Raw genomic sequence first — 14,010 nt, 5'->3', positions numbered from 1 at the left:
TCAGAGGCTTCCTGTCAGGACAAGGTCCTGGCATCAGCATTAGCTGCTGCAACTCTGAAGGGCAGGGTAGGAGCCTGTTGTGGGACTGCCCCCTCCAAGGTCTGAGCCTGTTAATTCCAGGGTCAGCTTCCCCTAAATCTGCAGTCCCTCTGCTGGAGGCCTGAACTCTCAATGCCCCTGCCTCCCTTCTGCCCTGGGCCTGCTCTCAGCTGCCACAAGAGGGCGCCGAAGAAAGGGCCTGAGGAGACACAGGAGCTCCTCTGCAGGTCCTCCCAGGAACCACCCCTTCTGGGAGGAAGGCTTGGGAGTCCCCTAAGACACATCCTCAGTCACTTCTCTCTGCCTGTGTCTCAGGAATACCAGCTCCTCCTACTGTCTTCTGTGCTAGGGATCACTTCCTTGTTGAGTGGGACCTGAGTTTTGAGAGGATCTTCTACTCCTTTTCATCTGGTCCCTTTCCTTCCAAGGCCCCAGAAAGGAAGGCATGCGGTGAGCCCTAGCGGTGCTTCTAGCTTTCCTGTATCCTGGTGAGTGTGCTGCCTACAGAGAGGCTCACAGGTTGGGTTTTGTTTTGTTTTCTTCTTTTGAAAGGGGTGCCATACAAAGGAATACCTCATTATATTTTATGTTTTTCCCATTGCAGCCAGTCAGAAATCTTCCAACTTGGAAGGGAGAATGAAGTCAGTCACCAGGCCGACTGGGTCATCTGCTGAAATCACTTGTGACCTTACTGTAATAAATGCCGTCTACATCCACTGGTACCTACAGCAGGAGGGGAAGACCCCACAGCATCTTCTGCACTATGATGTCTCCAACTCAAGGGATGTGTTGGAATCAGGTCTCAGTCTTGGAAAGTATTATACTCATACACCGAGGAGGTGGAGCTGGAATTTGAGACTGCAAAATCTAATTGAAAATGATTCTGGGGTCTATTACTGTGCCACCTGGGGCAGGCACAGTGATTCAGATCTGCCCTACACCACACTGAACATCTGCCTTGTGGCTGCCTCTGGTACACAAGATAGAGCCGCCCCCTCTCATTTCCTGCCACCAAATTTACTGTATTCTGAACAAGAGAAAGACAGCTTAACTCCTGATCTCCCTCCTAATATCACACTGTCCTGGCAGCAGCTGCACCCTGTTCCCTACCCCTCCCCCACAACTTTCCTGAAGATCAAGCTGCCATCTCCGGGCCTCAGTTAAGCAGCCTGGCTGAGAGTAAGGTTCTCTCAGCTCTCCTAGGACATGGGGGAGGCCCACTCACTCTGCTTCCTATGACAGACAGGTACAACTAGGGTCCAGCTGCGAATCTAGATATTTTGGACAGCAAATAGGAAGGTTATTTATACTGAATCATTTATCCAGTCATGGTCCAGAGATCACAGCTGAGAGTGGTGCTTATTCCTTATGTCTATAACAATATAAGCAATAGTATAATGACCACTAAAACACTAGGCCTAGGTATGCAGTTGAACATTCTCTCCCTCTGCCCTCCCTTTTATTCTCTCTCTCTTTTTTCTTACTTCTTTGCTTGTTTTTATTTTTCTCTCCCTCCCTAACTCCCTCCCTCCATCCATCCTTTCCTCCCTTCCTCCCTTGTTTCCTTCCATCCATTCTCCTTCCTTGTTTTCCTCCTTCCTTCCTTGTTTTTCTCTCTCTTTCTTTCCTTTTTGGGTACATAATGAGAATACTTTTTCCACAAAATCATTTGAAATAATTTTTCTCTATTTGTTCATGCCAACATTTATACAGCTAGTTTAACTGTTCAGTTTTCATTTTTACATTTTGGAAATTTGTTGTATTACTTTGTTTTGTTTCAAATCTGTTTTGTATATATAAAATATTTACATGGAACTGAAGTCAAAATCATAAAAGGTGATGCATTTGAAGATTTTAGCTTCCATTGTAGATTTCTTGTTCCTCTTTTCTCCCTGACACTACAGGTAACAATATTTTTGTCAGTTCACTTGAGCTGTTTCACTCTGTTTGTCATAGCAGAGTATGTATTGTTTCTATTTCAATGCCATATTTATATTTTCATTCTGATATTTGGTTTTTATACATTTTAATAAATCTTATATTTTCCTGTGTCTGGATTGTGTGTCTTACTTCTAAAGGTGCACATACTTCATAAGTATGCATAAAGACGTCCATATCATTTATTTGAATGTTTTTATGTGTTGATTATTTAATGATGGCATCATTGATCCATCAGGAATTTTTATACAATAATTACTGTATTAATAACAATAATACTGGCCACGCCCGGTGGCTCATGCATGTAATCCCAGCATTTGGCCAGTCCAGTCATTAGGATCACTTAGGCCGGGAGATTTGGACCCGCTCAGCCAACATGGTGAAACCCTGTCTCTACTAAATATACAAAAAATTAGCCGGCTGTTGTGGCGCACACATGTAATCCCAGCTACTTTGGATGCTGAGGCAGGAGAATTTCTAGAGCCAGGAAGGTGAAGGTTTCAGTGAGCTAATATCACACTACTACAGTCCAGTTTGGGCAATAGAGTGAGACTCTGTCTCAAAAAAATGAATAATGATAATAATAATATTGATGGTACATATGGGTGCTGACATTCTGGTAGTTAATGTACTAAGCACATTGCATGCACATTTTATTTAATCTACACAGAAACTTCATTAAGGGTTTAAAGTACCGTTGAATGTAACATAAGAAATTGGGGGGTTAATTAACATTCCCTAAGTCATATACTTTAATTTAATAATGATGGCAATCCAAGCTCTGTGGTTCTGAAAATGAGATTTGTTAATTTGATTTGCATTCCCCCATCTTTAGGAGTACTAGCAATATTTGACAACGTTATAGGTCATTTATAGTTCTTCTTTTGAGAATCGCCTTGTGATACTCTTTGCCTATTCTCCTTTTGGAGGATTAATTTTTTCTTATTGGTTCGTAAGAATTAATATATACTATTTTAGAGATACTGACCCTTTATCCAATGTGTTGAAGATATTACTCCTCATGTGTTATTATTTACATTTGGCACCTATGGTGAATTGAACTTTGAAAAATAAAATAATATCTGTCCATTTTTCTAGGGTGTCTAGTTTGATGCCAGGCTTAGAAAGGCCAATCTCACCTAGAACTTCTATGCAATTCATCATCGTTTAAGTCTAATGATTTTCATTTTATTACAACTAAATCACTATTTGTAACTAGTAAGGTAGAAATGCAACAATATTTGTTTCCATACAGTAAGTCAATACCAAAAAGAGAACTTATTAAATAATTGACTATTTCCTTGTGAATATTAATATATCACTTTATCACATGATAAAATATTACATACATGCAGCTCTCTTACTGCATTTTCCACTGTGTTCCATGAATCTTCTCATTCTAGTGCCAGTATTGCCCTCTCTTCAGCACTGTAGCTTTATAGTTCTTTTCACATTCTGATGAAGTTTCTCTCATTTTTTTGTTTTAAGAATTTTCTGTGCATTCTAGTGTGATCTCAATCCTCTCCCTTCCCAGTTTTAAACCGTGAGACTTCTGTCCAGCAAGACTTTTTCACGCTCCAAGGCAGGCAAGCTTCCCTCCTTCACAGGGACCCGAGAACTCAGCTTTCAGAGCTGTTCCTGCGGAAGCCTCATGTCCTCCACGTGTGCTCCAGAGGCAGAGGGAGACCAACTGGAGCCCCTTCCCTTTCTCATTCCCAGCTGTGATGACAGCAGAAACTGCAAAATTTGAGCTAGGACAACACAACAACCAAGAGAGACATTGTTCTACATCTCATTATGCATATTTCAAACATGTGTCTCTATATACTTCTTACAGAGGTGGTGGTAATCTGTGCATGCCCTACTGAATTTTCACAATTATATTACTGTACTTGTTTTGTCCCCTTATTTCCATCTGTGAATCCAGGTGCACTGCAGATATTAGTCTGCTTTCTGAGGGTAGGGATGACAAATAAAATATACAATACCCAGGGAATTTGGAAGTTCAGATATATAACAAGTTTTTAGTTCAAGTATGTTCCAAATATTTCATGACATGGCACCCAGTACTACTTTAAAAACAAACAAGCAAACAAACAAACTTACACTCCTACTTTAATGAACAAAAATTGTCTAATAAAGAGATCACACCCACAGGATTACAGGCACCCCCCCCCCCGCCCCCCGCCACACACACACACATTTACCTTAGAGCAGAGTCCAAGGCCCACCAACACACATGATCCTCAGTCCTTTTAATAAAGAACATTCAACCCTCCTCAGAGTGGCCTTGGGCAGTTGCCTCCAAGTGTCCTTGCAGATGTGAAAAGGAAGTTGGTTCACAGCCCTAATCAGAGGCTTCCTGGCAGGACAAGGTCCTGGCATCAGCATTAGCTGCTGCAACTCTGAAGGGCAGGGTGTGAGCCTGCTGTGGGACTGCCCCCTCCTAGGGCTGGGCCTGCTGACTCCAGGGGTCAGCTTTCCCCATATCTGCACTCCCTCTGCTGGAGGCCTGAACTCTCCATGCCCCTGGCTCTCTTCTGCAGAGGGCCTGCTCTCAGCTGCCACAGAGGGTGCTGCAGAACTGGCCTGAGCAGAGAGGCAGGAGCTCCTCTGCAGGTCCTCCCAGGCACCACCCTTCTGGAAGGAAGGCGTGGGAGTCCCCTAAGACACATCCTCAGTCACTTCTCCCTGCTTGTGACTCAGGAAGACCAGCCTTCCCCACTGCCTTCTGTGCTAGGGATCACTTCCTTGTTGAGTGGGACCTGAGTTTTGAGAGGATCTTCTGCTCCTGTTCATCTGGGCCCTTTCTTTCAAGACCCCAGAGACGAAGGCATGTGGTGGGCCCTAGCCCTGCTTCTAGCTTTCCTGTCTCTTGGTAAGTGTGCTGCCTACAGAGAGGCTCACAGGTTGGGTTTTGTTTTGGATTTTTCTTCTTTAGCAAGGGACGCCATACTAAGGAATACCTCATTATATTTTATGTTGTTCCCATTGCAGCCAGTCAGATATCTACTAACTTGGAAGCGAAAATAAAGTCAGGCACCAGGCAGATGGGGTCATCTGCTGTAATCACCTGTGATCTTCCTGTAGAAAATGCCTTCTACATCCACTGGTACCTACGCCAGGAGGGGAAGGCCCCACAGCATCTTCTGTACTATGACATCTGCAACTCCAGGGATATGTTGGAATCAGGAGTCAGTCAGGAAAGCATGATACTTATGGAAGTAGAAGGATAAGCTGGAAATTTATACCTCCAAAACTAAATGAAAATGCCTCTGGGGTCTATTACTGTGCCACCTAGGACAGGCAGAGTGATTCAGACCTGCTCTACACCACACTGAATATCTGTCTTGTGGCTGCTTCTGGTACACAAGAGAGAGCCGTCCCCTCTCATTTCCTGCCCTGAATTTACTGTATTCTGTACAAAGAGAAACAGCTTAACTCCTGATCTCCCCCCTAATATTACACTCTCCTGTCAGCAGCTGTACCCTGTTCCCCACCCTCCCCCAGGACTTTCCTGAAGACTAAGCTGCCATCTCAGCTAAGCCTCAGCTAAGCAGCCTGGCTGAGAGCAAGGTTTTCTCAGCTCTCCTAGGACATGGGGGAGGCCCACTCACTCTGTTTCTTAGGGTCCAGCTGTGAAGCGAGATATTTTGGACAGCAAATGGGAAGGGTATTTATACTGAATCATGTATCCAATCATGGTCCAGAGATCGCAGCTGAGAGTGCTGCTTACTCCTTATGTCTATAACAATATAGGCAATATTATAAATACCACTAAAACACTAGGCCTAGATATGCAGTTAAACACTCTCTCCCTCTGCCCTCCCTTTTATTCTCTCTCCTTTCTTACTTCCTTGCTTGCTTTTATTATTTTTTCTTCCCTCCCTCCCTCCCTCCCTCTCTCCCTCCCTTCCTTCCTTCCTTTTTTCATTTCTTCCTTCCTTGCTTTTCTCTCTCTTTCTTTCCTTTTTGGGTACATAATCCGAATATTTTTTCAACAAAATCATTTGAAATAATTTTTCTTTACATGTTCATGCCAACATTGATATAGCTAGTTTATTTGTTCAGTTTTCATTTTAAAATTTTAGACATTTGTTGTATTATTTTGTTTTGTTTCATATTTGTTTTGCATATGTAAACTATTTACATGGAACTAAAGTCATAATTTTAACGAAGATGCATTTGGAGATTTTAACTTACATTCTAGATTTCTTTTTCTCTCTCTTTTTTTTTTTTTTTTTTTTTTGAGACGGATTCTCAGTCTGTCACTCAGGCTGGAGTGCAGTGGAGCAATCTCGGCTCACTGCAACCTCCGCCTCCTGGGTTCAAGAGATTCTCCTACCTCAGCCTCCCAAGTAGCTGGGATTTCAGGTGCCCGCCAGCACATCCAGCTAATTTTTGTATTTTTGGTAGAGACAGGGTTTCCTCATGTTGGCCTGGCTGGTCTCGAACTCCTGACCTCAGATGATCCCCCTGCCTCGGCCTCCCTAAGTGCTGGGATTACAGGCATGAGCAACCTCACCAGGCCCCATTCTGGATTTCTCTTTCCTCTTCTCTCCCTGACCCTATAGGTAACAATATTTTTATCAGTTCAGTTGAACTTTTTCACTTTTTCTTATTCAGAACAAGTCTTTCAGTATTACAGAAAAGTCTTTTGTTTGTCATAGTGCAGTATATATTGTTTCTATTTGACCGTCATATTTATATTTTCATTCTGATAAGGTTTTATACATTTTAATCAATCTTTTATCTTCCAGTGTCTAGATTTTGTGTCTTGCCTCTAAAAGTGCATACACTTCATAAGTATGAATAAAGAAGTCCATATCATTTATTTGAATGCTTTTATTCATAGACTATTTAATGATGGCATCTCTGATCTATTGGGAATTTTAATACAATAATTACCGTAGTAATAATAATATGCTAATGATAAACACGGGTACTGACATTCTGGTAGTTACTGTACTAATCACATTGCATGTAAGTTTTATTTAATCTTCACAGAAACCCCATTGAGGGGTTAAAGTACCATTGAATACACCAGATGAGAAATAAAGGGCTTAACTAACATTCCCTAAGTCATATACTTTATTCGATAGCAATTTCAATCCAAGCGCTGGGGTTCAGAAAATGAGATTTGTTAATTCAATTTGCATTTTCTTACCTGTGTGAATGCTAGCATTACTTAACAACTTTGTAGGCCATTTATACTTCTTCTTTTGTCAACTGCCATTTCATACTCTTCGCCTATTCTTCTGTTGGTTATCATTTTTTTCTTATTGGTTTGTAAGAATTAATACACCTCATTTTAGAGATATTGATCCTTTATCAAATGTATTGAAAATATTTCTCGTGGTTTGCTATTATTTTCAGCACCTTTTGGTGAACTGAACTTTGTGTACTACTTTTAATAAAACCTATCAATTTTTCTAAGGGGTCTATTTTGATGTTAGGATCAGAGAGGCAAATCTCACTTACAATATGTGTGCAATTCATCATGGTTAAAGTCTAATGATTTTCTGTTTTCAGTTTTATTACAAGAAAATCTCCATTTGTAGCTGGCAACATAGTAACTTAAGAAGATTTGTTTCTGGCCGGGTGCAGTGGCTCACGCCTGTAATCCCAGCACTTTGGGAGGCTGAGGTGGGTGAATCACGAGATCAGGAGATCCAGACTATCCGGGGTAACACGGTGAAACCCCATCTCTACTAAAAATATAAAAAATTAGCTGGGCATGTTGGCAGGTGCCTGTAGTCCCAGCTACTGAGAAGGCTGAGGCAGGAGAATGGCGTGAACCCAGGAGGCGGAGCTTGCAGTGAGCCGAGATTGTGCCACCGCACTCCAGCCTGGGGGACAGAGAGAGACTCTGTCTCAAAAAAAAAAAAAAAAAAAAATTGTTTCCATATGGTAAGTCAATTCCCAAAAGAGAACTTATTACATAATCCAGTAGTTTCTCAAGGATATTAACGTACAACTTTATCATGTGATAAAATATTACATACACATGGCTCTCTTTCTGGACTTTCCAGTGTGTTCCATGAATCTTTTCATTCTAGTGCCAGTATTGCCGTCTCTTCAGCACTGTAGCTGTATAGTTCTTTTGACATTACAGTGGAGTTACTTTCCTTTATTGCTTTTTTGTTTTAAGGGTGTTCTATGCATTGCAATGTAATGGCAAATCTCTCCCTTCTAATTTTTAAACCGTGAGACATCGGTCCCAGCAAGGATTTTCCAGGCTTCAAGGCACCTGAGCTTCCCTCCTTCACAGTGACCCCAAGAACTCAGCTTTCAGAGCTGCTCCTGCGGCAGCCTCATGTCCTCCACGTGTGCTCCAGAGGCAGAGGGAGACCAACCAGAGCCCCTCCCTTTCTCATTCCCAGCTGTGATGACAGCAGAAACTGAATTCTCTGAGCTAAGCCAATACCACAACCAAGAGGGATGTTGTTCTACATCTTATTAGGAATATTTTAAACATGAATCTAAACATATTTGTTATAGAGGAGGTGAATATCTGTGTATACACTACTGAATGTTCCCAATTATTTTATTCTACTTGTTTTATCACCCATATCTTCATCTATGAATCCAGGTGCACTGCACATATTAGCCTGCTTTCCAAGGATAGAGTTGCCAAATAAAATATGCAATACCCAGGTAAATTGGAAGTTCAGATAAATAACAAATAAGTTTTGAGTTCAAGTATGTACCACATATTGCATATGGCACTGCACCCTGTACTTTTTTTTTTCTTTTTTTGAGACGGAGTCTCACTCTGTTGTCCAGGCTGGAGTGCAATGGCACAATCTCCGCTCACTGCAAGCTCCACCTCCCGGGTTCACAACATTCTCCTGCCTCAGCCTCCTGAGTAGCTGGGACTACAGGTGCCCACCCCCACAACCGGCTAATTTTTTTGTATTTTTAGTAGAGACAGGGTTTCATCGTGTTAGCCAGGATGGTCTCAATCTCCTGACCTCGTGATCTGCCCACCTCGGCCTCCCAAAGTGCTGGGAATACAGGCGTGAGCCAATCTCACACTCCTACTTGATGTGGCCTTTTTACTTGAGAATGAACAGAAATCCTCTAACAAAGAGGTTACAAACACAAGGTCACACACACCCCCTCCTGACCCCCACACACCCATTTACCATTGAGGAGAGTCCATGGCCGACCAACATACCTGATTCTCACTCCTGTTGAGAGGAGGGGCCAGCTGGGCTTCCTGGGTCGAGTAGGGGCTCAGCAAGCTGTGAAACGCACTCATTTCCTGCATCACGACTTACTTCGGTCCTGGATGAATAATATTGAAGATATATGCTTAAAATATTCCGAACACCAGGATTTGTGCATGTGTTTTCTTCCCCATGAAAGCTATGAACAGCGAAAATTTTCCTGTAAGTTTCCCTGTGTTCTCTCTCCCTCTCTTCCTTCCCCCTGCCCCAAAACTAAAGTAAAATAACGTTAACTGCCCGTTTTTCTGTAACCAGCAGACCTTATCTATACTCCCAATTCCAATTCCTTGTAAACATACTTTGTAAAGTCCTGTAAGATCCTGTCTCCTTTGCCATGACGCTGCAAGGTCATAAAGTAGATAAAACCTAAGTTGCAATTCCGGTTTTCCTCAAGATCTAAGACATGTTACAAATGGTTAATTGCCTTTGTTTCTCGCTTTGGTAACATCTTCCCGCCTCAGGTATTTCCCGCCTTGAAGAGTTTAAAAGGCAATCCTATAATCTAACTCTGGCTACCCATTCTGGACCCCCTCCATGCTTTGGAAGCTTTGTACTTTCACTCTGCTCAATAAAGCCTACAGCTTTTTCTCTCTCTCGGTCCGTGTTTCTATCACTCGCTGCGGTCAGCCGCCACACCAATTCTATGGCGTGGCTAGGCAAGAACCTTAGGTGTTACACTGTTAATAAAGCAGGTTCAGGCCTTCTCAGAGTGGCCCTGGGTATTTTGCCTCCAAGTGTCCTTGCGAATGTGAAAAGGAAAGCAGTTGAAAGACCAAATCAAGCTTCCTGACAGGACAAGGCCCTGGAAGCAGCATCAACTGCTGAAACTCTGAAGGGCAGGGTGTGAGCCTGCTGTGGACTGCCCCGTCCTATGGCCCTGGCCAGCTGGCGCCAGGGTCAGCTTTCCCCACATCTGCACTCCCTCTGCTGGAGGCCTGAGCTCTCCATGCCCCTGGCTCTCTTCTGCAGAGGGCCTGCTCTCTGCTGCCACAAGATGGCGCTGGAGAAGGGGCCTGAGCAGAGAGGCAGGAGCTCCTCTGCAGGTCCTCCCAGACACCACCCCTCTGGGAGGAAGGCTGGGGAGTCCCCTAAGACAGATCCTCCATCACTTCTCCCTGCCTGTGACTCAGGAAGACCAGCTCCTCCTACTGCCTTCTGTGCTAGGGAACACTTCCTGTTTGAGTGGGACCTGAGTTTTGAAAGCGTCTTCTGCTCCTCTTCATCTGGTCCCTTTCCTTCCAAGACCCCAGAGAGGAAGGCATGCGGTGGGCCCCAGCCCTGCTTCTAGCTTTCCTGCCTCTTGGTAAGTGTGCTGCCTACAGAGAGGCTGATGGGTTTTATTTTGTTCTGTTTTGTTTTCTCATTTTGCAAGGGGTGCCGTTCTAAGGAGTTCCTCATTATATTTTGTGCTGTTCCCATTGCAGCCAGTCAGAAATCTTCCAACTTGCAAGGGAGAAGGAAGTCAGTCACCAGGCCAGCTGGGTCATCTGCTGTAATCACTTGTGATCTTACTGTAATAAATACCTTCTACATCCACTGGTACCTGCACCAGGCGGGGAAGGCCCCACAGCATCTTCCATACTATGACCCCTACTACTCCAGGGTTGTGTTGGAATCAAGAATCAGTAGAGGAAAGTATTTTACTTATGCAAGCATGAGGAGGAGCTGGAAATTGATACTGCAAAATCTAATTGAAAATGATTCTGGATCTATTACTGTGCCACCTGGGACAGGCACAGTGATTCACACCTGCCCTACACCACACTGAAAATCTGCCTTGTGACTGCTTCTGGTACACAAGATAGACCAGCCCCCTCTCATTTGTTGCCACCGAATTTACTGTATTCTGTACAAAGAGAAACACAGCATAATTCCTGATCTCTCCCCTAATATCACACTCTCCTGGCAGCAGCTGCACCTTGTTCCCCACCCTCCCCCAGGACTTTCCTGAAGACAAGCTGTCATCTTCAGGCCTCAGCCAAGCAGCCTGGCTGAGAGCAAGACTCTCTCAGCTCTCCGAGGACATGGGGGAGGCCCACTCACTCTGCTTCCTCGGACCAACAGGTACACCTAGGGTCCAACTGCGAAGCGAGATATTTTGGACAGCAAATGGGAAGGATATTTATACTGAATCATATATCTAGAGATCACAGCTGAGAGTGTTGCTTATTCTTTATGTCTATAACAATATAAGCAATAGTATAATTACCACTATAACACTAAGCCTAGGTATGCAGTTGAACATTGTCTCCCTCTGCTTTCCTTTTTGTCTCTCTCTCTACTTTCTTGGTTACTTGCTATTTTTCTACACATCCCTTTTTCTGGCCTCCCCTCCCTCCCTCCCTAGCTCCCTCCCTAGCTTGCCTTCCTTCCTTCCTTCCTTCCTTCCTTTCTTCCTCCCTCTCTCCTTCCCTTCCTTACTTCCTTCCTTTCTTTCTTCCTCCCTCTCTCCTTCCCTTCCTTACTTCCTTCCTTTCTTCCTCCCTCCTTCTCTTACTTCCTTCTTTTTTTCCTTTCTTCCTTTTCTCTCTCTTTCTTTCTTTTTTGGGCACACAATCAGAATACAGAATCATTCTCTATATGTTCATGCCAACTTTGATACAGCTAGTTTATTCGTTCAGTTTTCATTTTTATATTTTGGAAATCTGTTGTATTATTTTGATTTGTATATGTAAAACCTTTACATGGAACTGAAGTCAAAATTATAAAACAAGATCAATTTAGAGATTTTAGCTTCCATTCTAGAATTCTCTTTTCTCTTCTGTGTCTCACCCTATAGGTAACAATATCTTTATTAGTTCAGTTGAACTTTTTCACTTTTTCTTATTTATTCAGAAGTCTATCACTATTACAGAAATACCTCTTTTGCTTGTCATATATGTGCAGTATGCATTATTTCTATTTGAATGGCATATTTATGTTTTTGTTCTGATATTCTGTTTTTATACATTTCAATCAATCTTTTAGTTTCTGGTGTCTGGATTTTGTGTCCTACTTGGAAAGGTGAACATACTTCAGAAGTATGCCTAAAGAAATTCATATCATTTCATTAATATTTTATTCATTTATTACTTGATATGATCTATCTGGAATTTTTATACAATAATTACTATAGCAATAATAATAATACTGATGATAAATATGGGTACTGACTTTCCGGTAGTTACTGTACTAAGCACATTACATGTATATTTTATTTAATCTTCACAGAAACCTTATCAACGGGTTTAAGTAACATTGAATATAGCAGATGAGAAAGTGAGGGGTTAACTAACATTCCCTAAGTCATATAGTTTAATTTGATAGCAATTGCAATCCAAGCTCTGGGGTTCAGAAAATGAGATTTGTTCATTCAATTTGCATTTTCTTATCTTTATGAATACTAGCATTATTTTACAATTTTATAGGCCATTTATACTTCTTCTTTTGTGAATTGCCTTTTCATACTGTTTGCCTATCCTTCTGTTGGGGTATTAATTTTTTCTTATTTGTTTGTAAGAATTAATATACACCATTTTCGAGATATTGATCCTTTATCAAACGTGTTGAAAATATTTCTCATCATTTGCTATTATTTATTTTCAGCACCTTTTGGTGAACTGAACTTTGTATATTACTTTTAATAAAATCTATCAATTTTTCTAGGGTCTGTATTATGATGTCAGGCTCAGCGAGACCAATGTCACCTACAATTAGTGTGCAATTCATCATCGTTTAAGTCTGATTTCCTTTTTTCAGTTTTATTACAACTAAATCTCTATTTGTACCTTTTAAGTTAGCAACCCAAGGATATTTGTTTCCATATGGTAAGTCAATTCCCAAAGGAGAACATAGTAAATAATCAAGTATTTCCTTGTGGATATTAACATACAACTTTATGACATGATAAAATATTACATACACGTGGCTCTCTTTCTGGACTTTCCACTGTGTTCCATGAATCTTTTCAGTCTAGTGCCAGTATTGTCCTCTCTTTGTTGTATCTGAATGAGTTAGAGAAAATGCCACACTTTGAGACAAATTAAGATTCCGTTTATTTAGCCGGCGGCCAAGAGACGGCTAATGCTCAAAATTCTCTCGGCCCCGAAGAAAGGGCTAGATTTTCTTTTATACTTTGGTTTGGAAAGGGGAGGGGTGTCTAGTTAAAACAATTTTACAGAAATAAAGTAGGCAAAAAGTTAAAAGGATAAATGGTTACAGGAAAGTAAACAGTTCCAGGTGCAGGGGCTTTAAGACTATTACAAGGTCATAGACTTGGGGCTTTGGGCGTTATCAATCAGATGGATTCCTGGGAATTGCGGATATAGCTTGCCACAGTATCTTATCAGTTAATTGCATTCTTGGATGTGCTGGGAGTCAGCTTGCACAAGTTAAGTCCTTGAGGAAGGGGCTGCCAGTGAAAGAGCCAAGATGGAGTCTGTCTGGCTCTCTTAGCTAAGGGAGAGTCAATTCAGGTGGAAACAAGGCCAGGTGATTAAAGGAAAAGGGAGAGTCTAAAAACAGGGTTAGTAAAAACACGGTTGGGCATTACATCTTCAGCACTGTAGTTTTGTAGTTCATTTTATATTCCAGTGGAGATTGTTTCTCTCATTACTTTTTTGTTTTAAGGATTTTCTGTGCATTCTAATGTGATGGCAGTTCTCTCCCTTCTCATTTTTAAACCATGAGAGTTCTGTCCCAGGCAGGATTTTCCTGGCTCCAAGGCAGGTGAGCTTCCCTCCTTCACAAGGACCCCAATGACTCAGCTTTCAGAGCTCCTCCCCTGGCAGCCTCAAGTCCTGTACGTGTGGTGGAGAGGCAG

At 42.2% G+C, this 14,010-nt stretch overlaps 1 long non-coding RNA gene, 3 pseudogenes and 1 further gene across 1 annotated transcript in view, besides 6 other annotated features; 4 read left to right on the top strand and 1 right to left on the bottom strand.

Annotated features, from left to right (window-relative positions):
* TRG-AS1 (T cell receptor gamma locus antisense RNA 1) overlaps positions 1-4,563 on the bottom strand; it is a 37,220-nt gene extending 32,657 nt beyond the window's left edge. Inside the window, exon 1 of the long non-coding RNA NR_040085.2 lies at positions 4,185-4,563. This is a non-coding gene — a long non-coding RNA (T cell receptor gamma locus antisense RNA 1). The remainder of the gene's footprint in view (positions 1-4,184) is intronic.
* The window catches only part of TRG (T cell receptor gamma locus), a 128,032-nt gene that overhangs the window by 22,072 nt on the left and 91,950 nt on the right, over positions 1-14,010 (top strand).
* Positions 485-527: a sequence feature (TRGV5P leader sequence).
* TRGV5P (T cell receptor gamma variable 5P (pseudogene)) lies at positions 485-954 on the top strand (annotated as a pseudogene). The gene is given in 2 exon segments: positions 485-527; positions 642-954. Coding segments are annotated over 2 exon segments (356 nt in total).
* Positions 642-654: a sequence feature (TRGV5P leader sequence).
* Positions 4,813-4,855: a sequence feature (TRGV6 leader sequence).
* On the top strand, positions 4,813-5,284 carry TRGV6 (T cell receptor gamma variable 6 (pseudogene); annotated as a pseudogene). The gene is given in 2 exon segments: positions 4,813-4,855; positions 4,975-5,284. Coding segments are annotated over 2 exon segments (353 nt in total).
* Positions 4,975-4,985: a sequence feature (TRGV6 leader sequence).
* Positions 10,470-10,512: a sequence feature (TRGV7 leader sequence).
* On the top strand, positions 10,470-10,943 carry TRGV7 (T cell receptor gamma variable 7 (pseudogene); annotated as a pseudogene). Its single transcript is given in 2 exon segments — positions 10,470-10,512; positions 10,634-10,943. Coding segments are annotated over 2 exon segments (353 nt in total).
* Positions 10,634-10,644: a sequence feature (TRGV7 leader sequence).

Source organism: Homo sapiens, chromosome 7, assembly GCF_000001405.40.
Source record: "Homo sapiens chromosome 7, GRCh38.p14 Primary Assembly".
Lineage (NCBI taxonomy): Eukaryota > Metazoa > Chordata > Mammalia > Primates > Hominidae > Homo > Homo sapiens.
The sequence above is the reverse complement of the archived record's forward strand: the minus strand, read 5'-3'. Positions and strand labels throughout refer to the sequence as shown.